The 26334-nt window shown below is 38.7% G+C and overlaps 1 protein-coding gene across 6 annotated transcripts in view; it reads right to left on the minus strand.

The window, feature by feature from the left end:
• IGSF10 (immunoglobulin superfamily member 10) overlaps positions 1–26334 on the minus strand; it is a 187494-nt gene that overhangs the window by 90192 nt on the left and 70968 nt on the right. For 5 of the 6 annotated variants that reach the window (NM_001385061.1, NM_001385060.1, NM_001385062.1 and 2 more), the window contains exon 1: positions 16530–16693. The gene's annotated coding sequence lies outside the window, so the exon portion shown is untranslated. Of the gene's footprint in view, positions 1–16529; positions 16694–26334 lie in introns of those variants that run through there. The other variant, XM_011512709.3, reaches the window with a different exon arrangement.

Here is a 26334-nt window from a genome sequence, read left to right on the forward strand (position 1 = left end):
TTGATAAAATTCAACACACTTAATGTTAAAAACTTTCAAACTAGGTATTGATGGAAAATACCTCAAGATAATAAGAGCCATCTATGACAAACCCACAGTCAACATTATACTGAATGGGCAAAAGCTTGAAGCATTCCCCTTGAAAACTGGCACAAGACCAGGATGCCCTCTTTTACCACTGCTGTTCAACATAGTTTTGGAAGTTCTGGCCAGGACAATCAGGCAAGAGAAAGAAAGGACATCCAAATAGGAGGAGAGGAAGTCAGACTATCTCTATTTGCAGATGACATGATTCTTTATCTAGAAAACCTCATAGTCTCAACCCAAAATCTCGTTCAGCTGATAAACAACTTCAGTAAATCAATGTACAAAAATCACTAGCATTCCTATATACCAACAACAGCCAAATTGAGAGCAAATCAGAAAGGCAATCCCATTCACAATAGCCACAAAAAGAATAACATACCTAAGAATACAGCTAACCAGGGAGCTGAAAGGTTTCTACAATGAGAATTACAAAACACTGCTCAAATAATTTAGAGATGACACAAACTAATGGAAACACATCTCATGCTCATGGATAGGAAGCACCAATATCATTAAAATGGCCATACTGCCCAAAGCAACTCATAGGTTCAATGCTATTCCTATCAAACTACCAATGACATTCTTCACAGAACTAGAAAAAACTATTTTAAAATTCATATGGAACAAAAAAAGAGCCCACATACAAAAGGCAATCCTAAGTAAAATGAACAGAAGCTGGAGACATAACGTTACTTGACTTCAAACTGTACTGCAGGGCTACAGTAAACGAAACAGCATAGTACTGGTACAAAAACAGGCACATAGACCAATGGAACAGAATAGCAAGCCCAGAAATAAAGCCCCACATCTATGACCATTTGATCTTCGACAAAGCTGACAAAAACAACCAATGGGGAAAAGAGTCCTATTCAATAAATGGTGCTGGGATAACTGGCCAGCCATATGCAGAAGATTGAAGCCGGACTCCTTCCTTACACCATATACAAAAATCAATGCAAGTTTTTAAATGTAAAACCCCAAACTATGAATACTTTGGGAGACAACCTAGGCAATACCATCCTAGGCATAGGAACTGGCAAAGATTTCATGACAAAGACACCAAAAGCAATCGCAACAAATGCCAAAATTTACAAGTGGGATCTAATTAAATTTAAGAGCCTCTGAACAGCAATGGAAACTATCAGCAGATTAAACAGACAACCTACAGAAGGGGAGAAAATTTTTGTAAACCTTGTATCTGACAAAGGTCTAATATCCAGCATCTATAAGGAACTTAAACAAATTTACAGGAGAAAAACAAAACCCCATTAAAACGTGGCAAAGGACATGAACATTTTTCAAAAGAAGACATACAAGTGGCCAAGAAGCATATTTTAAAAAGCTCAACATCACTGATTATTAGAGAAATGCAAATCAAAACCAGTCAGAATGGCTACTACAAAAAAGTAGAAAAAATAACAGGTGCTGGCGAGGTTGCAGAGAAAAGGGAACACTTACACACTGTGGGTGAGAATGTAAATTAATTCAGTCATTGTGGAAAGAAGCATAGTGATTCCTGAAAGAGCTAAAAGTAGAACTACCATTTGACCCAGCAGTCTATTACTGGGCATATACCCAGAGGGATATAAATTATTCTACCATAAAGGCACAGGGACATGAATGTTCACTGCAGCACTATTCACAATAGCAAAGACATGGAATCAACCTAAATGTCCATCAATGACAGATTAGATAAAGAAATGTGGTACATATATACCATGGAATCCTATGCAGCCATAAAAAAGAATAAGATCATGTCTTTTGCAGGAACATGGATGAAGCTGGAGGCTATCATCCTAAGCAAACTAACACAGGAACAGAAAACGAAATACCACATGTTCTTACTTATAAGTGGGAGCTAAATGATGAGAACTAGTGAACCCAAAGAAGGAAACAACAGACACTGTGGTCTACTTGAGTGTGGAGGGTGGAAGGAGGGAGAGGAACAGAGAAGATAACTATTGGGTACTGGGCTTAATACCTGGGTGATGATTTGTACAACACACCCCTGTGACACGACTTTACCTGTGTAACAAACCTTCACATGTACCCTTGAACCGAAAAAGTTAAAAATACATAAATAGATATTCCAAAGGTTGATTTGAGACATGTAATAATGGAAAGCTACTTTATCAGATTCAACTGAGTGGATTTTGATTTTTTCCTTCTTTCCTTCTTCCTTCTCTTCCATCATTCCTTCTTTCCTTTTTAGTATCAAATGTCTTTTCCAGCTATAATATTGTCAATATGAAATAGATAATCTTTGTAACAATTTTAAAAATGCATTACACCTTTTTTTTTTTTTTTTTTTTTTTTTTTTTTTTTTTTTTTTTTAAAGAGAGCCTTGCTCTGTCACCCCAGCTGAAGTGAAGTGGCACAATTATAGCTCTCTGTAGCCTTGAGCTCTAGGGCTCAAGTGATCCTTCCACCTCAGCCTTCTGAGTCACTGGGATTACAGGCACCAGCCACCCTGCCTGGCTCATTATAATCATCTTTAACACAAAACTATTTAGATTTTATTGCAAACACCTTTTTCTGACAAATTCGAGTAGTTTACGGAAGTACAATTAAGGCTATATTACAGAATATGCATAACATGTACATTTTAATTCCAGTTTAGTTGCCACTCTGAATTCAGGTAGCCACAAAAAATACTATTTAAGATTTTTGTTTAAGATAGAGTAGCATCCAAGTTTCCTAACTGTATTAATTTCTATTGCTGTGTAAGAAATTGCCACCAAGTTTGCTGGTTAAAAGAACACAAGTCTATTATCTCACATTTCCTGTGGGCCAGTAGTCTGTACTCTATTAAGGTCTCAGATGTGTTGAGATCACGGTGCCAGCCAGCTGCATTCTTACCTGAGGGTTTGAATAAGGAAAGAACTGCTTCCAAGATTATTCACGTTGTTGGTAGAATTCAGTTCCTTGTGACTGTAGAACAGAAATCTCAGTTTTCTTGCCCACTATTGACTGGAGACTACCCTAAGCATCCTTACCACATGCCCCACTCCATACCCTTACCCTTTGAATCCCTTCCTTCAACAAGAGCCCAATCTCTTTTAAGGGGTTTGCCAAATTGGTCAGGCCCACCAGGGATAATCTCCCTTCCGATTAACTCGAAGTACATTGATTTGAGACTTCATTACATCTGCAAAAATCCCTTCACTTTTTTTTCCATATGAAGTAACCTAATTACAGGAGTGAAGTTCATCATAGTCAATTCTCACCCACACTCAAGGGGAGGGGATTTTACAGAACATGTACACCGGGGAGCGGGAATCTCAAAGGTCATCTCAGAATTCTTCCTGCCACACCAATTTTAACTTCTTGTTGCTCCAAGGCCCCTCATCACTGAGCATCTTAGTGTCAGGAGTGAACTATTTATCTAGCACATAACCATGATACTTCTGGCTAACATTTGGCAGAACTGAAAGGGAAAAGTTTGAGCTACCTGTTGAAGAGATTGGGAAACAGAGTGAAGGTTTAGAAGAGGAAATGTCTCCAGTCTTGTTATTTTTCTTGTCAGAGCTCCACAGTCTATTGGATTGTCTAAGGCTGGAAGCCTTTGACCTTCCCTCCAGAGGCCAGACCTTTCTTCTTGTCATTTTTCTTGATTGTTTTTTTTTTCAGTTGTATAACTTTGTCCATAAATTGGTAATCTTTAGTATATTTCAGCGTTAATGTCATAATCTCAAACTGATGTTTTAAAAGACTTGGTATAATGAAAAAATGTTTAATGTTGCATCATTTTATTTTTTAATAACTTTTTAAACTGGGAAGTCTCTTTGAGTTCAGAGTATCTACTCCATAGACTTTTAGTACCACGAAGTTTCTATTGTCAATTTAAATTTAGCCTCTTCCAGCAATTTTCTGATTCATGGTTTCTCTTAACTTTCTTCTGCATAAGTTATTTAGGTTCTTCTAGTTCCTCTAATATTAAAAAAATTTAAATTTCTTTCCTTGATGTTTTTCTCATTGATCTCATTTTTTTCTTTTTCTGATGCATTTGCTTTCAGATTTACTCCAGTCTTCTCCCTTTCTTTCAAACTAATTTTCCTGGTTATCCTTAATGTTTTTGGCCTCATCTTCATCTTTACCTAGTTCCCTGCCGGAAGCCTTTCTTTCCACCCTCTGTATCAGGTGCTTGGGCAGAATGTGTGCACACTGGAGAGGCCAAAACTGCCTGCACTGTGGCCACCAGCTTGATCTTGGTATGTACATATGTGAAGGAGAAGTTCATGTAGCTCCAGCGTATGTGGGTGGAAACTGAGCAGAGTTCAGTTGCTGAATTTGCTTTTTGTTGACCTAACCTAAACCCTGTACAGATCTGGTCTTCCTAACTTTTGGTAGAATTTGTAGAAAAAAATTTTTTTCCCTATTCCATTGGCTACAAAAACCACTACTGACTTTAGAAGTCACTTTTTTCCTTTAGAATATTATACCTGTTAAAATTATTTTGCCTTTAAATGACAGAAAACTCAGCCCAGCCTGGCTCTGGAAAATAGGAAGATTTTTGGCTCACCTAACCTAATAGGCCCATACCACACCAGCGGGAGCTGGATTCACTCTTTTTTTTGGCTCATTTATGCTTCATGCTGGTTCCATTCTCAAGCAATTCCCTCATCAAAACATGTCTGTGGGGTCATCTATTCCTAATGAACAATAAAATGTCAGAATTCTTCTTGGCCCAATACATTTCTGAAGAGTCGATAATGGATTTTTTATATAGCAGTGATAAGGCAGATATTCAAATGTCTCCATAAATACTTTTTGACTTACATAACTTTTGTATTACCTTACATGTTACCCGCCCAATAAAAATGCTAGTTGACTGAAAAAGGAACAAATGGATATTTAAGTCCCAGTATTAATTGCCCAGAAGATAATTTCTAGTGTAAAAAAAGAAAAGAAAAGGAATAAGCAGGAGAAAAAGCATTGTTTTAAAAATCCAAATCTGGGCCAGGTGTAGTGGCTCATGCCTATAATCCCAGCACTTTGGAAGGCTGAGGTGAAAGGATTATTTGAGCCCAGGAGTTTGAGACCAGCCTGGGCAACATGGTGACACCCTGTCTCTACAATTTTTTTTTTTTTAATTAGCTGGGCATGGTGGTACATGCCTGTAGTCCCAGCTACCTAGCAGACTGAGGTGGCAGGATCACTTCAGCTTGGGAGGTCAAGGCTACAGTGAGCTGTGTTCATGTCACTATACTCCATCCTGGGTGACAGAGCAAGATCCTGTCTTGAAGAAAAAAATTGAAACCTGGGTTCAGATTTTAACTTCATCAATTAATAGCTGCATGACCTGAGCAAAATATTTTATGTTTTTAGCCTCATTTCTTTACACCATGAAGATAATACTCACAGTGCTTTTTTTCCTAGTATCATGCTGATTAAATGCAATGATACAGTAGGTTAAGCTCTTTAGATAGGACCTGGCATAAGAAAGCTCTTAATAAATATCAGCTATTATTATTAGCAGTGAACTTGAAACATAATAGACTCTCAGAAATGTTGGTTTCCTCCACTTTTATCTGTTATTCATTCTTTTTGTTGTCATTCATAATTTTATTCTATTAGGTCATTGCATTCAGGGACTGATCCAGATTTCGAGGGGCCTAAAGCTCATATAATTTATAAGGTTTTTTTAAAAGAGAAAGCATACAATGCTATGAATAAAAATTAGGTATGGGGGACTTGCTGGCATGATGGCAGAATAGGAACAGCTCCGGTCTGTAGCTCCCAGCAAGACTGATGCAGAAGGCAGGTGATTTCTGCATTTCCAACTGAGGTACCCTGTTCATCTCACTGGGAATGGTTGGACAGTGGGTGCAGCCCATGGAGGGCAAACCAAAGCAGGGTGGGGTGTTACCTCACCTGGAACGTACAAAGGGTTGGGGGATTTCCCTCCCCTAGCCAAGGGAAGCCATGAGAGACTGTACCGGGAGGAATGGTACCCAGATATATGCTTTTCCCATGGTCTTTGCAACTGGCAGACCAGGAGATTCCCTCTGGTACCTATGCCACCAGGGCCATGGGTTTAAGCAAAAAACTAAGTGGCTGTTTGGGCAGACACTGAGCTAGCTGCAGGAGTTTTTTTTTTTTTTTTTCATACCCCAGTGTACCTGGAATGCTAGTGAGACAGAACTGTTCACTCCCCTGGAAAGGGGGGCTGAAGCCAGGGAGCCAAGTGGTCTGGCTTGGTGGGTCCCACCCCCATGGAGCCCAGCAAGCTAAGATCCACCGGCGTGAAATTCTCATACCAGCACAGCAGTCTGAGGTCAACCTGGGATGCTTGAGCTTGGTGGGGGAGGGGAGTCCACCAATGCTGAGGCTTGGGTAGGCAATTTTACCCTCACAGTGTAAACAAAGCTGCCGGGAGGTTCAAACTGGGCAGACCCCATCACAGTTCAGTAAGGCTGCTGTGGCCAGACTGCCTCTCTAGATTCCTCCTCTCTGGGCAGGGCATCTCTGAAAAAAGAAAGGTAGCACCCCCATTCAGGGACTTGTAGATAAAACTCCCATCTCCCTGGGACAGAGCCCCTGGGGGAAGGGGCAGCTGTGGGCGCAGCTTCAGCAGATGTAAACGTCCCTGCCTGATGGCTCTGAGGAGAGCAGCGGATCTCCCAGCACAGCGTTTAAGCTCTGCTAAGGGTCAGACTGTCTCCTCAAGTGGGTTGCTGACCCCTGTATATCTTGACTGGGAGACACCTCCCATTAGGGGCTGACAGATACCTCATACAGGAGAGCTCTGGCTAGCATCAGGCAGGTGCCCCTCTGGGATGAAGCTTCCAGAGGAAGGAACAGGCAGCAATCTTTGCTGTTCTGCAGCCTCTGCCGGTGATACCTAGGCAAACAGGGTCTGGAGTGGACCTCTAGCAAACTACAGCAGACCTACAGCAGAGGGGTCTGACTGTTAGAAGGAAAACTAACAAACAGAAAGGAATAGTATCAACATCAATAAAAAGGACGTCCACTCAGAGACCACATCCAAAGGTTACCAACATCAAAGACCAAAGGTAGATAATTCCACGAAGATGAGGAGAAACCAGCGCAAAAAGGCTGAAAACTCCAAAAACTAGAACACCTCTTCTCCTTCAAAGGATTACAACTTTTCGCCAGCAAAGGAACAAAACTGGATGCAGGATGAGTTTGACGAATTGACAGAAGTAGGCTTCAGAAGGTGGGTAATAACAAACTCCTCCGAGTTAAAGGAACATGTCCTAACCCAACTCAAGGAAGCTAAGAACCTTGAAAAAAGGTTAGACGAATTGCTAACTAGAATAATCAGTTTAGAGAAGAACATAAATGACCTGATGGAGCTGAAAAACACAGCACGAGAACTTCATGAAGCATACACAAGTATCAATAGCCGAATTGATCAAGCAGAAGAAAGGCTATCAGAGATTGAAGATCAATGCAATGAAATAAAGCAAGACGTCAAGATTAGAGAAAAAAGAGTGAAAAGAAATGAACAAAGCCTCCAAAAAATATGGGACTATGTGAAAAGACCAAATCTATGTTTGATAGGATGAGTCACCTAAAAGAGACGGGGAGAGTGTTTCCCAACTTAGTTTCATTCTTCAGGATATTATCCAGGAGAACTTCCCCAACCTAGCAAGGTAGGCCACATTCAAATTCAGGAAATACAGAGAACACCACAAAGATAGTCCTCAAGAAGAGCAACCCCAAGACACATAATCATCAGATTCACCAAGGTTGAAATGAAGGAAAAAATGTTAAGGGCAGCCAGAGAGAAATATCGGGTTACCCACAAAGGGAAGCGACTAACAGTGAATCTCTTGGCAGAAACCCTACAAGCCAGAAGAGAGTGGGGGGCAGGGGGCAATATTCAACGTTCTTAAAGAAGAGAATTTCAACCCAGAATTTCATATCCAACCAAACTAAGCTTCATAAGCGAAGGAGAAATAAAGTCCTTTACAGACAAGCAAATGCTGAGAGATTTTGTCCCCACCAGGCCTGCCTTACAAGAGCTCCTGAGGGAAGCACTCAACATGGAAAGGAACAACCAGTACTAGCCACTTCAAAAACATACCAAATTGTAAAGACCATCGATGCTATGAAGAAACGGCATCAACTAACGGGCAAAATAACCAGCTAGCATCATAATGACGGGATCCAATTCACATATAACAATATTAATCTTAAATGTAAATGGGCTAAATGCCCCAGTTAAAAGACACAGACTGGTCTGCATGCTGTATTCAGGAAACCCATCTCACATGCAAAGACACACATAGGCTCAAAATAAAGAAATGGAAGAATATTTACCAAGCAAATGGGAAGCAAAAAAAGGCAGGGGTTGCAATCCTAGTATCTGATAAAACAGACTTTAAAACAATAAAAATTGAAAGAGACAAAGAAGGGCATTACATAATGGTAAAGGGATCAATCCAGCAAGAAGAACTAACTATCCTAAATATATATGCATCAAATACAGGAGCACCCAGATTCATAAAGCAAGTTCTGAGAGACCTAAAAAGAGACTTAGACTCCCACACAATAACAGTGGGAGACTTTAACACCCCACTGTCAATATTAGATCAATGAGACAGAAAGTTAACAAGGATATCCAGGACTTGAACTCACCTCTGGACCAAGCAGACCTAATAGACATCTACAGAACTCTCCACCCAAAATGAACAGAACATACATTCTTCTCAGCACCACATCACCCTTATTCTAAAACTGAACACATAATTGGAAGTAAAACACTCCTCAGCAAATGAAAAAAATGGAAATCATAACAAACAGTCTCTCAGACCACAGTGTGATCAAATTAGAACTCAGGATTAAGAAACTCACTCAAAATGGCACAACTACATGGGAACTGAACAACCTGTTCCTGAATGACTACTGGTAAATAATGAAATGAAGACAGAAATAAGTAAGTTTTTTGAAACCAATGAGAACAAAGACACAACATACCAGAAACTCTGGGACACATCTAAAGCAGCGTGTAGAGAGAAATTTATGGCACTAAATGTCCACAAGAGAAAGCAGGAAAGTTCTAAAATTGACACCCTAACATCACAATGAAAAGAACTAGACAAGCAAGACCAAACAAATTCAAAAGCTAGCAGAAGACAAGAAATAACTAAGATCAGAGCAGAACTGAAGGAGATAGAGACCTGAAAAACCCTTCAAAATATCAATGAACCCAGGAGCTGGTTTTTTTTAAAAGATCAACAAAATAGACCGCTAGCAAGACTAATGAAGACAAGAGAGAAGAATCAAATAAATGCAATAAAAAATGATAAAGGGGATATCACCACTGATCCCACAGAAATACAAACTACCATCAAAGAATACTATAAACACCTCTATGCAAAGAAACCAGAAAATCTAGAAGAAAAGAACAAATTCCTGGACACATACACCCTCCCAAGACTAAACCAGGAAGAAGTCAAATCCTGGAACAGACCAATAACAAGTTCTGAAATTGAGGCAGTAATTAATAGCCTACAAACACCACAAAAAAGTCCAAGGCCAGACGGATTCACAGCCGAATTCTACCAGAGTAACCAAGAGGAGCTGGTACCATTCCTTCTGAAATTGTTCCTAACCATAGAAAAGGAGGGAATCCTAATTCATTTTATGAGGCCAGCATCATCCTGATACCAAAACCTGGCAGACACACAACAAAAAAAGAAAATTTCAGGCCAGTATCCCTGATGAAGATTGATGTAAAAATCCTCAATAAAATACTGGCAAACCGAATCCAGCAGTACATCAAAAAGCTTATCCACCAAGATTAAGTCAGCTTCACCCCTGGGATGCAAGGCTAGTTCAACATACCCAAATTAATAAACATAATCCATCGCATAAGCAGAACCAATGATAAAAACCACATGATTATCTCAATAGATGCAGAAAAGGCCTTCGACAACACTCAACAGCGCTTCATGCTAAAAACTCTCAGTAAACTAGGCATTGATGGAATGTATCTCAAAATAAGAGCTATTTATGACAAACCAACAGCCAATATCATACTGAATGGGCAAAAACTGGAAGCATTCCCTTTGAAAACCGGCACAAGGCAAGGATGCCCTCTCTCACACTCCTATTCAACATAGTATTGAAAGTTCTGGTCAGGGCAATTGGCAAGAGGAAGAAATAAAGGGTATTCAATTAGGAAAAGAGGAAGTCAAATTGTCTCTATTTGCAGATGACATGATTGTATATTTAGAAAACCCCATCATCTCAGTCCAAAATCTCCTTAAGCTGATAAGAAAAGTCTCAGGATACAAAAATCAATGTGCAAAAATCATAAGCATTCCTATACACCAATAGCAGACAAACAGAGCCAAATCATAAATGAACTCCCATTCACAACTGCTACTAAGAGAATAAAATACCTAGGAATAAAACTTACAAGGGATGTGAAGGACCTCTTCAAGAACTGCCAACCACTGCTCAAGGAAATAAGAGAGAACACAAACAAATGGGAAAACATTCCATGCTCATGGATAGGAAGAATCAAAATCGTGAAAATGGCCATACAGGCCAAAGTAATTTATAGATTCAGTGCTATCCCCATCAAGCTACCACTGAGTTTCTTCACAGAATTGGAAAAAACTACTTTAAATTTCATATGGAACCAAAAAAAGAGCCCACATAGCCAAGACAATCTAAGCTAAAAGAAAGCTGGAGGCATCACTCTGACTTCAAACTATGCTACAAGGCTACAGTAACCAAAACAGCATGGTACTGGTACCAAAACAGATATATAGACCAATGGAACACAACAGAGGCCTCAGAAATAACGCCACACATCTACAACCATCTGATCTTTGACAAACCTGATAAAAACAAGCAATGGGGAAAGGATTCCCTATTTCATAAATGGTGTTGGGAAAACTGTCTAGCCATACGCAGAAAGCTGAAACTGGACCCCTTCCTTACACCTTATACAAAAATTAACTCAAGATAGATTAAAGACTTACACGTAAGACCTAAAACCAAAAAAGCCCTAGAAGAAAACTTAGGCAATACCATTCAGGACATAGGCATGGGCAAGGACTTCATGACTAAAACACCAAAAGCAATGGCAACAAAAGCCAAAATTGACAAATGGGATCTAATTAAACTAATAAGCTACTTCACAGCAAAAGAAGCTATCATCAGAGTGAACAGGCGACCTACAGAATGGGAGAAGATTTTTGCAATCTATCCATCTGACAAAGGGCTAATATCCAGAATCTACAAAGAACTTAAACAAATTTACAAGAAAACAACAACAACAACTCTTTCAAAAAGTGAGTAAATAATATGAACAGACACTTCTCAAAAGAAGACATTTATGCAGTCAACAAACATATGAAAAAAATCTCATCATCACTGGTCATTAGAGAAATGCAAGTCAAAACCACAATGAGATAACATCTCACATCAGTTAGAATGGCAATCATTAAAAAGTCAGGAAACAACAGATGCTGGAGAAGTGGAGAAATAGAAACACTTTTACACTGTTGGTGGGAGTGTAAATTAGTTCAACCATTGTGGAAGACAGTGTGGTGATTCCTCAAGGACCTGGAACTAGAAATACCATTTGACCCAGCAATCCCATTACTGGGTATATACCCAAAGGATTATAAATCATTCTTCTATAAAGACACATGCACATGTATGTTTATTGCTGCACTGTTCACAATAGCAAAGACTTGGAACCAACCCAAATGCCCATCAATGATAGACCAGATAAAGAAAATGTAGCACATATACACCATGGAATACTATGCAGCCATAAAAAATGATGAGTTCATGTCCTTTTCCGGGACATGGATGAAGCTGGAAACCATCATTCTCAGCAAACTAACACAAGAACAAAAAACCAAACAAGTTTCTGTTCTCACTCGTAAGTGGGAGTTGAACAATGAGAACACATGGGTGGGGAGGGGGGTCATCACACACTGGGGCCTGTCATGGGGTGGGGAGCTGGGGGAGGGGTAGCATTAGGAGAGATTCCCAATGTAGATGACGGGTCAATGGGTACAGCAAGCCACCACGGCATGTGTGTACCTATGTAACAAACCTGCACGTTCTGCCCATGTACCCCAGAATTTAAAGTGTATGTGTGTGTGTGTGTGTGTGTGTGTGTGTATGAAGGTTTGGGCAGGGTTATAGGAATCTAGAGGAAACTACAGAATCACCTTCACTGGATGCATGAAAAATGTAGTTCCATCCAACTGTTCTGTCACAGTAGTTACAAGCATACACGAACTTTGGAGTCAGACTGATAAGGGATCCAATACCAGCTTTATCAGTTTCTATGGGTGTGATCTTTGGCAATTAAAAAAAAAAGCTATCTACATTTCAGTTTTCTCATCTATAAAATTAAAGATGATACTATCTCTAAAGGTTTTTGAGAGAACTAAATGAGAAAATGTAACTCAAATGGTAACAACATCTGACACAGTGCAAAAACAATAACTATTAAATCTAGTTATCATCCCTTATTTTATTCCTAGTAGAGGTATTATAATGTGGGCCACCACAGAAACTTATTTTTGAGGATATTTGGCTGTAATAAAAAATCCCAAATAAAAGAAAAAAAATAACAAAATCACATACTTTGCAGCAACATGGCTGCAGCTGGAGGCTATTATCCTAGGCGAATTAATGCAGAAACAGAAAACCAAATAATATACTTCTCACTTATAAGTGGGAACTAAACACTGGATACTCATGGACATGAAGATGGCAAAAATAGACACTGGGACTACTAGAAGGGGAAAAGGTTGAAAATCTAACTATTCGGTACTATTCTCACTACCTGGGTGAAGGAATCAATCGTACCCTAAACCCCACCATCACTATATATACTCATGTAACAAACCTGCACATGTATGCTCTGAATCTAAAATAAAAGTTAAAATTATTTTATTTAAAATAAGATATAAAAGTTCATATTTAGAATTAGAATTTACAATAAATTACATATATATAAAGTATGGTAGGTATTACAAATAGTGCAAGTCAGGAAATCTTTCAATTCTAATTATTTGCTTACATGCCTCTAAATTAACTTTTTTGGGCTGCATTTTCTTTGGTTGCTTCATTCTGTCACAAGTCTTACATTTTCAATAAAGAGAATAGAAAAATAATCAAGTCTTTCCTCTAGAATGATAGAGCAAAACTCATTTTTGAAATTGATGGCTTCGCAGTTTCTTTCAACTTCACTGTTTATTATTTGTAATCCTGTACATGGAGCTCCAGCTGCAGCTTCTTGCTGAGATGGCACTACTTTCAGGGGCAGACTTTCATATGTTTGCAGCCCCTTGATCTCAGTCTTCATATTCTTTGGAAGCTGCAATTTCTAGGTTGGCTAGGTCCTAGCTGCCACTGTGTCCTGTCCCACCATGGCTACTAGTCCTAGGGGGATTAAGGGGATGGGAGGTGGTGGTGAAATGCCATGAAGTCTAGCATTGACTTCTGAGCAGGAAGCAGGGAAAAAATCTCATTTGTGCCTTTCTCCTTGGAGTCAAAGTCTGGATACTTCAAGAGGTCCCCTGGGACAAGGTTGTCACTTGGGCTGCGTGGATGTGAAGGTAGGACTGGCAGCCTCTCAACTCCACCTACGGATCTAAGACCACCACGAGGGCAGAGAGGGTGACCCTCAGTCTGAGGTTGATGATTCTTTCCCATGTAGAGTTTATTTAGCAAATAAAAATGTAGGTTGCATTTGTTATTTGGGACCTACTTAAGTGAAAATGTTATTCATTGTTTATCTGAAATTCAAACTTAATTGAGCATCCTGTATTTTATTTGGCAACCTTATCACTGTGGCCCTACATGACAGCTTTGAAAAGGGTCCATGCAAGGAAGGGATCCTGAAGCTTAAGTTTCATTAGCATTGTAAATCTGTCCTGATTCTACTGTAAAGCTTAACCTCAGTTACTGTTAACCAAGGTTAACAATAAAATGTTCACCAAAAAAATGCCGAATCTAAAGTACCAGATTTGACTAGAGGCTAAAAAAGATTTTGTTTTCTCTTTACTTTTCCCCTTAAAGTTCATTTTGTTCAATTTGGCCCACTAATTTAATATGGGCCAATATTTTGAAGTCTTAATTCTGTAATACATCACATTAACTATGTGAACTACTTCTAGCATAATTTGATTCTTAAATTTGATATGCAGGTGATAAACCAGTCCTTTTAATATCAGAAAGACACAGGCAAATTACCTTGGCTGATGGGTATTGAAAGAACTATTATTCTAGGTCCTGTTGCTTTTAAAACAGCAGGCCCAATAAGAGTGAGATCCCCAAACTACAGAATTTAAGTTTGTTCTTTATTCGAGCATTTATTCTTTCCAATAACAATATTTGCTTGGGATGATTTGCAAGGATTTAATATGGGGGGACTGTGAGGGAAAAATTTTTGGGTAAGCCATCTCAAAGGCAATTTTTTTGCCTCCCTAAAGTTGGGCACATTAGTATTTGCTTTGATCTTGCATTGTTACTTTGGCCAATCAGTTGTGGCTAGAGCAGGAGTGTAGGATTTACTCAATACGTATAGCACTGAGTCATAGCAACATAGGTAGTAAAGAATCAGCTTGGGTTACTTTCTCTCAAAGGTAGACAGATGCTCAAAGATTTGTGACTTTCCCCTGAAGTCTGAAGAGAATAACAAGCTATTGATTTTTGTCAAAATTATAGAGAAATATTGATGAGGTTGAGGCCGAGAAGAAAGAACTATAGCCTGTCACTAGGCAAGTCTGCACTCTTTAGATGGAGACAACATCATTAAATCATTCAAAGCCAATTGTTCTACCATCTAGTTCATTTTTCCCCATCATGTACATGATGCTATGATGAAGCACTTGACTAATTAACCGAAATAGGGTTTATACTATGCCTTCTTCATACACCAGTTTAGCCACACTGTCAAAAACCAAGCAGTGAAGTTAGTCTGTAATGGCCTGTTATTGACAAAGGCATTCTAACTTTAGTCATCACTGTTTCCTCTTCTAAGTGTTCATGGACTCTTAAAAAAAATAATAATCTCTTCTAGGATTTTTGTCAAGCTCTCTGATCTGTAATTCAATAAACCTACCTTCTTTCCCTTCTAAAAATTGGAGCAACATTTTCCATCCTTCAGTCTCCTGGAACCTCTCCTGTTTTCCATGGTTTCCCAGTAATTACCCACAGTGGTTCAGTAATTATAGACATACGTTCTTTCTGTTCCCCAAGATGTAGTTTAGCTAGGCCAAAAGATTTGAAATCCTCAGAGCAGCTAGGATCCCTCTCATGAGCCCTCCTGCTTCCTCAGTTTCAGATTCCTCTGACTATTACTCACTCCTCACTTTTCCTGGGTCTACGACTTGGCAGAGATCAAAATTGTGGGATTCTTAATAGTTGCCAAACTTCACGTTTAGTTAAGGGTCTTCAGAAGGACCTACTAATTGTCAGATGCAGAGTCAAAGTCTCATTCTGCGACTTCACTGATAAACATATTTGATATTCTTAGAGGTTTCTTAGAATTGTGATGGGTCACTCCTGGGACCACCATAACACCAGAAACACAAAGCCCATAGAAGTTCATTATTGCCCACTCATTATTGCTTAATATATTTCTTTAATTATTAACTAAAAGCTTAAAAAGGCTGTTGCCCTTTTTATAACGAGAAGGACCTGGATTTTTTGTGGGTCTGTGCTTGTTTCATTTGGTTTTTAATTCTCTCTCACTTAAATAAGGACATTATAATGGTTTAAATGGTTAAATACCTCACTTCACAGCCAAGTAATAGTAGAAGAAACGTAAGACCACAGCCTAAGTAGAATGAGAAATGTAAGTCTTCGGATTATTCATTGGAATATAAAAGTGAGAAAAAGGGTATCTAGTTCCAATATTTAAACAAACACAATCACCAAGACTTTGATGCTGTTTTTCCATTAACACTGCTGACATCAGACCCCGAGCAGAATTTCCATAAAGAAATTTAATTTAAAATGTCCAGGACACAATATTGCTTTAAGAACATTACTCTTTCAACCCCCAAGTCTAGCGCAGTGTCTGGCATGTAGTAGTCACAGAACAATGTTGAGTTGAATTTACAAGCCCCACATAAAGAATGTAAGTTAAATCTTGGACCCTTAAAACCATTATAATTGTTTCACAGGCAGCAAGGGCTCAGGGAAAAAGAAAAGGTTTTAGAACAAAACATGCATTGTGAGAACTGTTACTCCAGCAAACGAAAACACATCCCAATAACAATAATACTTCAGTTTCTGTGGGCATTTGAAGAGGCACGATAAAGAGCCAGCTTTTTTTCTTGCCTGTGTTTTTAAAAACACTGGAAGAGGAACAAAAATTTCTGGCAGATGGCGATCAAAATATCAGCTTCATTGCTGTTGGAAAGGGGCCTAGATTTTGGTAAGGCTAGACCTGCAAATACAGATCCCTAGAATTAGGGACTTACTTTAATCCTTGCTTTTTTCCAGCGGAGTCCACATGTTACACATGACTACAGAAGAGTCACAAGTCACAGCAGTCCAGACAAACGCTCTGCTTCCCACGTGGAGGCTTGCTCTGTAACCCGAGAGAAGACCAGATGCAGACGTGAACTTTCGCATAGCCGCTCTTAAGAGGAAGGGGAAGAGAGGAGCTAGCTATGACTGCCCTCTTCCTTCTTTTAAATTCATCAAATAGGCGAATTCACTCCACCTGAGTGTTTGAGTGTTAAGGGCGGAACAAGAAACTGGTGCTTAGAAAAACCAGAGGAGTGGAGCATTGTTTCTACTTAAGGGTCTTTTAACACATCTTGGCTTAAAATATGTTTACATATTCATCTTCTTCCCAAACTCAGGATGGCAAGCAGAGTACATATTTTCCCTCTTTTTACAGTTAAGAAATGGAGATGCAGAAAAAAATGTGTCATAGTCACTTGAAACTCATTGTATCAATATGAATCTGTAATCCGACCACCCCCACCTCCAACACCCAGCTGGTTGTTCTCTCAATAGATAGTGAAGAGTGATCCTTGATGATTATTCTTAGGCTGTAATCCTTTCACCCAGCATTATTTCAACAGCATCTATCTATCTATCTATCTATCTATCTATCTATCTATCTATCTATCTATCATCTATCTGTATCTATCATCTATCTATCTGTCTATCTATCATCTCTGTGTGTGTCTGTCATTCGTCTGTCTGTTCATCCATCCATTCATCTAAGAAACAAGAGGTGCAGGGAGGGAATTTGTAGTGAGAGGCTTCTGACAGAACTGGCCTTAGTCCGAGCCTAAGTAACCTAAATAAGTTTTTCATCCCCTTAGCTGGGCGTCAGTGGTGTCATTTTGTGGTGGGAAGTGAAAGAAGACTTTCTAAATCGATGAACAAATCAGAAGCCTATCCCTCAATTAATTGTCATAAAGAAATCTCACCCATCACAACCAAATAACATAATTTAAATTTTTTAATAGAAGTATGAAATAAACACAGAAAAGCGTATATATCATAAGTGTACAGCTCAGTTAATTTTCAAAAATTGAACATGTGTAGCCAACACTAGATCGAAAAACAGAACATTACCATTTCTTCTGATCTATATTATTCTCTTCTGGTCACCCTCACCCAAGGGTAAGTTTACCTGAATTTCTAAGATAATACATTAATTTTGCCTGCATTGTACTTTTTATGAATGGAGTAATACAGTATGTACTCTGGTGTCCAGCTTCTTTTGCTTAACATTATTTTTTTGAGGAGTATCCATATTATTGTGTATATTTGCAGATCATTTATTCTCATTAGTGTGTTGTACTGCAGTGTGTAACTAAACCACAGTGTAGTTATCCATTCTACTTTTGATAGCCTGTGAGAAGTTGACAGTTTAGAGCTATTATAAATAGTAGTGATGTGAACATTCTTGTTCGTACCTCTGGTGCACATATATCTATGTACTTCTGTTGACTCTATGCCTACAGTGGTATTGCTGGGTCAGAGGGTATGTATTTGTTTGGCTTTTGTGGATGTTAGCAGTTTTCCAAAGTGTTTACTAGTTTATACACCCACCAGCAGTGTACAAAAATTCCAGTTGCTTTACATCCTCACAAGCCTAGTCCCCCACGAAAATGCACACGAACCAATCCCTGCAATCTGTGAATATGATACCTTGCATGGCAAAAGGAACTTTCAGAGCCACAGTGGAGATCCACTAGTAATTTTGTTGCTCTCTGAGGATCTCCTCAGTTTTTCACTGTTGAACCCTGAACAACCATCTACATTTTAAGTGTGAAGGTTACAGAAGAAATTATTGGAACAACTGCAGAGGGGAGACATCAGAGGGAGTTCAGTTCCAGATAGTGGAAATCATGCTGAAGTTTGTATAGTGTGTATGGAACAAATGATTCCGTTTAAGGTTAAAAAAACAAACCTTAAAATACCCTCAAAACCTCAGTAGTTTAATTAAGTTCATTACATCTGATGTGATTAGCAGTAAGATTCATAAACTATCAGTTTCTCCTACATCAGTCATGTTTTTGACTGTCCACAGTTATCTAAAACATATTTTACAAACTTCATGGCAGAAAGTCAGATGTGTCTGTTGAAGTAGAATGACTTCAAGACAGTATATCTTTACATTATATGGGAGGCTAACAAAACAGTAAAATTTGTTATGATACAGAGCTGAGTCATGTCAAAAAAATCATATTTTAGAATTTGATGTCAGTGAGATTAGCTAGCACACTAAAGTTCTTTGTTTAATTTGCTAGGCCATAAATTCAGTTTTCTTATAGTCATATAGATGAGATTTAAACACATTACTGAGTAAACAAAGTACTTTTAGAGGTTTGCTCATGGTTGTATTTTAAAGTTGACACTATTCTTTTAGGAGGCTGATATTTCTAATTTTATATTGTCCTTTTTGATAAATTGGCTTCTCTCTCTCTGCATATGTTTTAGTTTTTTCTTTGTAGTATCTCTATTTTTTATTATTTCATCTTACTAATACCTCCTCATGTCTTATGAAATTCATCATCTTTTCCTCCTTCTCTCGAGGACATACAGAAGTACAATACATAAATACATATACATACATATGTGTGGATGAGTGGATAGATAGATGTATGTCTGGGGCCCAAGCTAGACCAATCAGCTGTGGAGAAAATGGGGGTCAAAGCAAGCTAAGCATGGCCACTTTCTCCCTTAAGAAAAGCAACTTTCCTTAGAAAGGATTGTGTATGCGGCAGGTAGCATGACCAATGTTCTTAACACATTCTTTGGCTTCATTTTAATCTCTTTTCCTGAGTTGTTCCTTAAATTACTGTTGCTTTCACACCCAACTCCCTTCTCCTCTCATTCACGCTTAAAAATTTCCCAGGTGATCTTATTTATTCAGTGGCTTTTACAGCACTTGCTTTATCTCCAGCCCAAATGACTTTCAGGTACTCCAGGTTCTGGCTATCACACAGGCACTAAACTCAAAACATTTCAAAATAAATCCATTATTTTATATATCCAGGCTGCAAATGCTTTTCTTCCTGTATATCTTATGTCAGAACCATAAATGCATATAAATACTCATTTTCTTTATATATAATATTGGACATAATATAAGACACATATAGTAATTTTTTACTGTATTTTCTCACTATAACGAAAATCTCCCTTACTTTAACATAAGTAGAATTCATTCATAAGGATATTTTAAAGTAAGACAATACACAGAAGTATATAGGGATAAGCAAGTCTTCCTCTCATTTCTGACCTCTGTATTCTAGTCCTCTTCCTCACAGGCATCGACTCTTCTCAACATCAGCTACATCCTTGCAGGGATACCCTTTGTATAAATATATATGCATGTGTATTTTTCTTAAAATTTATATTCTGCTGTGGATACATTTCTTTCCTTGTTTTTCCACTAACAGTATAACTTGAATACTTACTATAAAAACAAAATAAATGTTTTTAGTAAGAAATGTTTATAGTAAGAAATGTTTATAGTAAGAATTTACATAAGGAAAACTTCTTATAGTTTCTGATTTGGGTTCTTAAAACTAACTATACTGTAATCCTGTTAGATTACGTCCTTTCAAGGAGGGAATGCTTAAAGTTACTGTTGATGATTGTAATTTGTTTTATATACTTTTGTCTTGTTAAAATCACATGTTTTTATTAAAGGTATTTTTGTACTTTCCTCACCTGCTGTCTAGAGGCCACACAATTTTAGCTTTTTTTCTGACATTGCCACTGTATTTCAAAACAATGTGCTCATCTTTAAAAATGTGCTTTATCTTCACCAATTCTAGACATCGTCTATTGATATTTTTGTTCAAAAATGATTCAGCTCATTTATAAAATCTCTCCTACTAATTCCCCTAGTCAATTTTTCAATATAATTATATCAGAATTTTGGTTTAATTAAGGCTAAATTTTACATTATGAATATTTGTAAGAATTCTCTCCGTAGTCAAGGAGACTAAGTCCATGATTATCATTTGGGTTTTCCTGCAGTAAATAAGTATTAGGTTCAGGGGTCTGGGTCCAGCCTATGCTGCCGTCCAAGGGGAGGAGTGGGTCGATGGGCAGAAAGATCACTCAGGGGGCCATAGGCAGGTGAAATGCAGTTTTATTCAGCAGCTTTTTCATCAGCAGCTTACCCACATTAGCTCTCTTACACTGTCCACCTTTATCTTGGATGTCTGCTCCAGCTCTGTGGCTTCTACTACCCCCACACCTGCAGCTGCACAGCTGGCTCTCCCTTGCCTTCAGGGTCAGCAGCTTAACTCTTTCTCTCTCTGGGCAAGAGCACGAGCAGTGTTGTGCCATGCCGTGCCATGCCAAGCTGTGTCCTGCCTCCCCTCTGTTCACCTGCAAGATGAACAGCTTTGCTTGCTCTCTCTCTTTCTCTGGGTACCAATGCCTGAACAAAAGCCATGACCAGTCGAGCTGAGCCAAGCCCCTGTGCACAGTGTCAGCAGGGCAATTACACCTTTTACAGACAATAGTGGCTCAGAGCCAAGTATGAACTTACACAAATAGGTTATATAACAAGTGGAGGTGTGCGTCTGCCTGCCAAACTTGCTGAGTCATGCAGGCCTGGATATCTGCCTTGGCCTATTCCTTGATCAAAGCATATCCATGTACCTTACAATAAGTATCTGTTTAGTTTTCTATGTAGCTATTGATAATTTCCCCCAACTCCCTACCCCTAAGTGCTCAAACAGATCTGTCAAATGTCTTTTCTTTTATTGAGACGGAGTTTTACTCTGTCACCCAGGCTGGAGTGCAGTGGCACAATCTTGGCTCACTGCAACCTCTGCCTCCCAGGTTCAAGCAATTCTCCTGCCTCAGCCTCCCAAGTAGCTGGGACTACAGGCACATGCCACCACGCCTGGCTAATTTTGTATTTTTAGTAGAGAAGGGGTTTCCCCATATTGCCCAGGCTGGTCTTGAACTCCTGACCTCAAGTGATCCACCTGCCTCAGCCTCCCAAAGTGCTGGGATTACAGGCATGAGCCACCACACCTGGCCTGTCAAATGTCTTTTAATATTTCCAGTGTACTCAAACACATCAGGACTGGGTTTGCCTAGGAGAACATTCTGCAGGGGCCCTCTGACTGGCTCTAATTGCTCCTGGTGGCTCTCCAGGCTGCTGCAACACAGCAGTCTTTCTGGGGTTTTCTCTGCTCTCACCTCCATAGGATTTCCTGTTTTCTCTACCTCACATCTTTCTTTTGGTATAGCAACCTCTAAAGCTTTTCAAGAAAGAATGCATGGAATGTTTGAAAATATATATCCAGCTTCCATGTTTGAATGACAGTTTGATGGCTTAAAAATTCTAAATTGGAGAGCATTTTCACTGAGAATTTTAAAGACACTGCTCTATATTTCATTCCCTACCCACCTACCCACCCTGTTTTAGTTTTGCTGCTGAAAGTCTAATGCTATTTGATTTCCAAATCCTCTGTTCAATGACCTGTTTTCTCTTTCTAAAAGTATTTAAGATTTTCTCTCTTTTTTTTTTTTTTCAATGCCCTGGGGTTTGAAATGCATTGTGATGTCCTTTGCTGTGTTTTATTTATTGTATTATGCATGCGATAGGCCCTTCAATCTGAAGATTTTTGTGTTTTGGTTTTGGAAATTGTCTTATTTTACTTCTATGATGATTCTTCTCTCCTTTGTTTTCTCTGTTTTCTACTCTGGAACTGTTATTAGTTTAGCTATTGGGTCTTCTATACTGATTCTCTAACTTTCTTAATTTTTAAATTTTCCATCTGTCTCTTGGTTTCTGAGACATTTTCACAACTTTATCTTTCATATCTGTTGAATTTTCTATTTTAGTTATTCTACATTTAAGTGTTTTAAAATTCTTACTTGGATCCTTCTTAATAGCCTTTTGTTATTGTTTCACAACTGTAATATATCCTTTAATCTTTTTGAGCATATTAGTTACATAATTTTGAAAGTTTTTTTATGCTTCTTGCATATTCTCTTTTTTTCTGGGCTTGATTTTCTATTATTGTGGGCCTGTTTTCACATTAGAGACTTTTCTCAAACACCTGGCAATGCTTGGCTCCCCACTTGTAGTTAAAAGGAGGCCCTGAGAAGCAAATGGAATCACTGAGTGCAGTTTGGCAGAATTCACTGTAGGGTAATAAGGCAGCAAGGTGCTCTTCTCATGTAGGAGATACTAAGAGATTTTTCTCTTGAGCTGCTCAGTTTCACAGTGAAGAATTCTATAATCCTCTGCCTTGCAGCTTTGGAGGATGAAGCAAGGCCTTTGCTCTGAGTGCTAAATAATAGGCTTTCTATCACTTCCATTGTTTTTGGTCTTATGGTTTAGCCCAATTTCTGTGGTACTTTTGACCATCAAGTCCTGAAGTTCTCTAAGTTTCCATAGGGAAAATTGGCTCAATTCAAGCTGCAATCCCTCTGCAGGTGTCTGCACTTTAGCATTCCTGCACTTTGCTTTGTCAAGAACCGGCCTTCCATCTGTTTGTTATTTATTTATATTTTCCAATTATTTATTGGCATTCCTCATCTGCTGTCATCTCCTCACCTTTCTCAGCTTTGTCCTTGAATTTGTACTTTAAAAATCATTTGTCAATTTGATAACATTTTTGGATGGAAAGAAAATAAACGTGGTGAATATTTGTTAATTGAAATTGTCATGAATCAGGAAGAAGCAAAAGGGTGCTGAAGGGTAACTGGTTAGGAATCTGTAGTGCAGGGGTTAACAAATTACTGCTCCCTATCCAAATGTTGCTCGCAGCAGATGAGCTTAGCCTGGTTTTTACATTTTTAAAGGGTTGTAAAACAAAACAAATCAAAACAAAACATTAGATTAGAGATCATATGTGGCCACAAAAAAAAAAAAAAGCCTAGCATAATTGTTACCTAGCTCTGTACAGAAAGATATTGCTGAACCCAGCTTTAGTGCAGTGGTTCTCAACCTGGGAGCATCAAAAACAGATCTATGACCAGGTCTCACTCTGGACCATTAAGCAAAAATCTCTGTTGGCAAGGCTCAGGGGGTGATATTAGCATGCAGCGAGACTATTATGAAAACCCTCTCCTACCAAAATACAGCATTATCTACACCACCAAGATACCACCACCATCCCACCAACAAGAGCAACTGATAAATTTCTATGCTTGTTATTTACTATTTATGTTTATTTACTTTTTGAGACAGGGTTTTGCTCTGTTGCCTTGGCTTCAGTGCAGTGGTGTAATTATGGCTCACCATAGCCTTGACCCTCAGGGCTCAAGCGATCCTCCCACCTCAGCCTCCTGGGTAGCTGGGAGTACAGGTGTCCACAACCATGCCTGGCTAATTTTTTTTTTTTTTTAATATTTAGTCGAGATAAAGCCTCAGTATGTCGCCCAGCCTGGTCTCAAACTCCTGAGCTCAAATCCCTCCTTGGCTTCCCAAAGTAAGCCATCATGCCTGGCGTATGTTTATTTTTGGCAACATTATATACACATAAATTGCTTGTACAAGCCTGATGATTAAAGTCAAAGTCCTCTGTGTCCCTCTTCCCCATTCTATAAGTATAGCCTCTTTACATTTTTTAAATTAATTCTTTTCTCCATATTTCTTTTTTTTGAGACGAAGTTTTTGCTCTTGTTGCCCAGGCTGAAGCGCAATGGTGCAATCTCGGCTCATTGCAACCTCCGCCTCCCGGGTTCAAGCAATTATCCTGCCTCAGCCTCCTGAGTAGCTGGTATTACAGGCAACTGCCACCACGCCCGGCTAATTTTTATATAATTAGTAGAGATGGGGTTTCACCATGTGGACCAGGCTGGTCTTGAACTTCTGACCTCCGGCGATCCACCCCCCCCTTGGCCTCCCAAAGTGCTGGGATTACAGGCGTGAACCACCGTGCCCGGCCTCTTTTCTCCATATTTCTAAATAATATGTTTATATTGCTTCTTCAGGATTTTTCAGTTTTAGACATTTTCTATTAACTTTCTACCATGAAAAATAAGGATTTAGTTCCCTTTCACAACCACACCGTCCCACACACATGCAAGCTTCCAAGATCCACTCCATCCTTTTTAATAGTTTTCATTAGAACAATATTCATTTTGTTAAATATGTTCATCAGTATGTAAATGCTTTTCACAGCTGAGCAATGCCATAGCCAGTGATTATGTTCTTGCACAATTATGTTCTTCCTGAAGTTAGTAATTAATCTTACTTTTGACTCCTCTCCTTAGTTTTCCATATATTATATAAATATATATATACACACACACACACACACACACACACACACGTTATTCAAAACTAAACTGTTGCCAATTGTCTAGGTCTTCTCTCAGTATAGACATCATGTATTCTATTAATATCATGTTTGTGAAACAGCTTCTCCTAGAGCCTGGACTGGAGGCTTACTGTACCTGGTGCATATTTGTCATTGGACTCTGGTTTTCCTCTTTCAGAGATGTTCTTTGCCTCTGGGTTGTATGGAGTACTCTGGTTTCTAGAGCCCAGATATTCTTCTTTCTTGGTTTAAGTCTTCATCTTGGAGCAAATCCATCAGTAACTTTATGAGAAAGAGTGCATGGGAGACAAATGCTCCTGATATTGCATGTCTGAAAATGTAAAGAATCCGCCGGCATGTTATTTACAGTTAGCTTGCAAATGGAATTCTAGGTTTAAATGTATTTTCCTTCATATTTTAATGGCATCAATCCCTCACTATACAACTTCCAGTTTTACTGTTTGAGCAACCTGAAGTCATTCTAGTTTTATATGTTTGTGGTGTGGAAGATTGTATTTCCAAAAATGGTTGCAAAATATCTTTGTCTCACATGCTTTTCTACAATGTGACCTTTCTACTCTCCCATTGAGATGTGTGTACCTTCCCTTTGAATCTGCATGGCCAGTAATTTGCTTATATCCAACACATTATAGTGGAAGTGATGTTGGGGTAATTTCGAGGCTAGTTTAAAAGAAGCAGTATGCCTTTTGCCTTGTTCATGGGGACACTTGTTTGCGGAACCCTAAGTGGCAATATAAGAAGTCTGACTACCCTAAACATTATGCTCTAAGGAAACCCATGGCAAATAGAGAGGCCTCATGGGGTTCCTCTGTCAACAGCCCCAGCTAAGGTTCAAGCTGACAGCCAGCATCAAATGCTAAATATATGAGTGAATGAGACTTCAGATGATTTAAGCCATCTGTCCGTCATCTCTAGTTGTCTTCCCAGCTGAAGTCACAGACATTGTGGAGAAGAGATAAGCCATTCCTACTGCGCTCTGCCTAAATTACTGACCCACAAAACCCAAGAGCATAATAAAATTGTTGTTTTAACCCACTAAGTGTTGGGAGAATTTGTTGCATGACACTAATGACTGGAACAGTATGTGACTTTTAAAAACATTTTTGAAAGCTCTTAGGATTTCATTTTTGTTTTTCAGTGTCCTGAAAGTTTATGATGGCTATTTCACTCATTGTAAGTCAACCCTTTCAATGTGAAAATATTCATATCTTTCAGTTCTTAGAAATTTTATCAAATTGTTTTGGCAGTGATAGTTTTTCCTTTTTTTAATTTAATTTTTATTTTTAGAGTTTCTCTTATTTAGAGGCCAGACCTCTTGGACTAATAATCTTCTAATTTTCTCATTTCTTCTTCTTTTTTTCTTTTATTTTCCAGCTCTTTTTAAATTTTAATTTCTGAAAAAATTTCCAAACATTATTTTTCTAATTCTTGTCATAGTTTTAATTTTCAACACTTTTATTAAGGGCATTTTGTTCTTTTTCTCTTTTCT

This window comes from Homo sapiens, chromosome 3 (assembly GCF_000001405.40).
Source record: "Homo sapiens chromosome 3, GRCh38.p14 Primary Assembly".
NCBI lineage: Eukaryota > Metazoa > Chordata > Mammalia > Primates > Hominidae > Homo > Homo sapiens.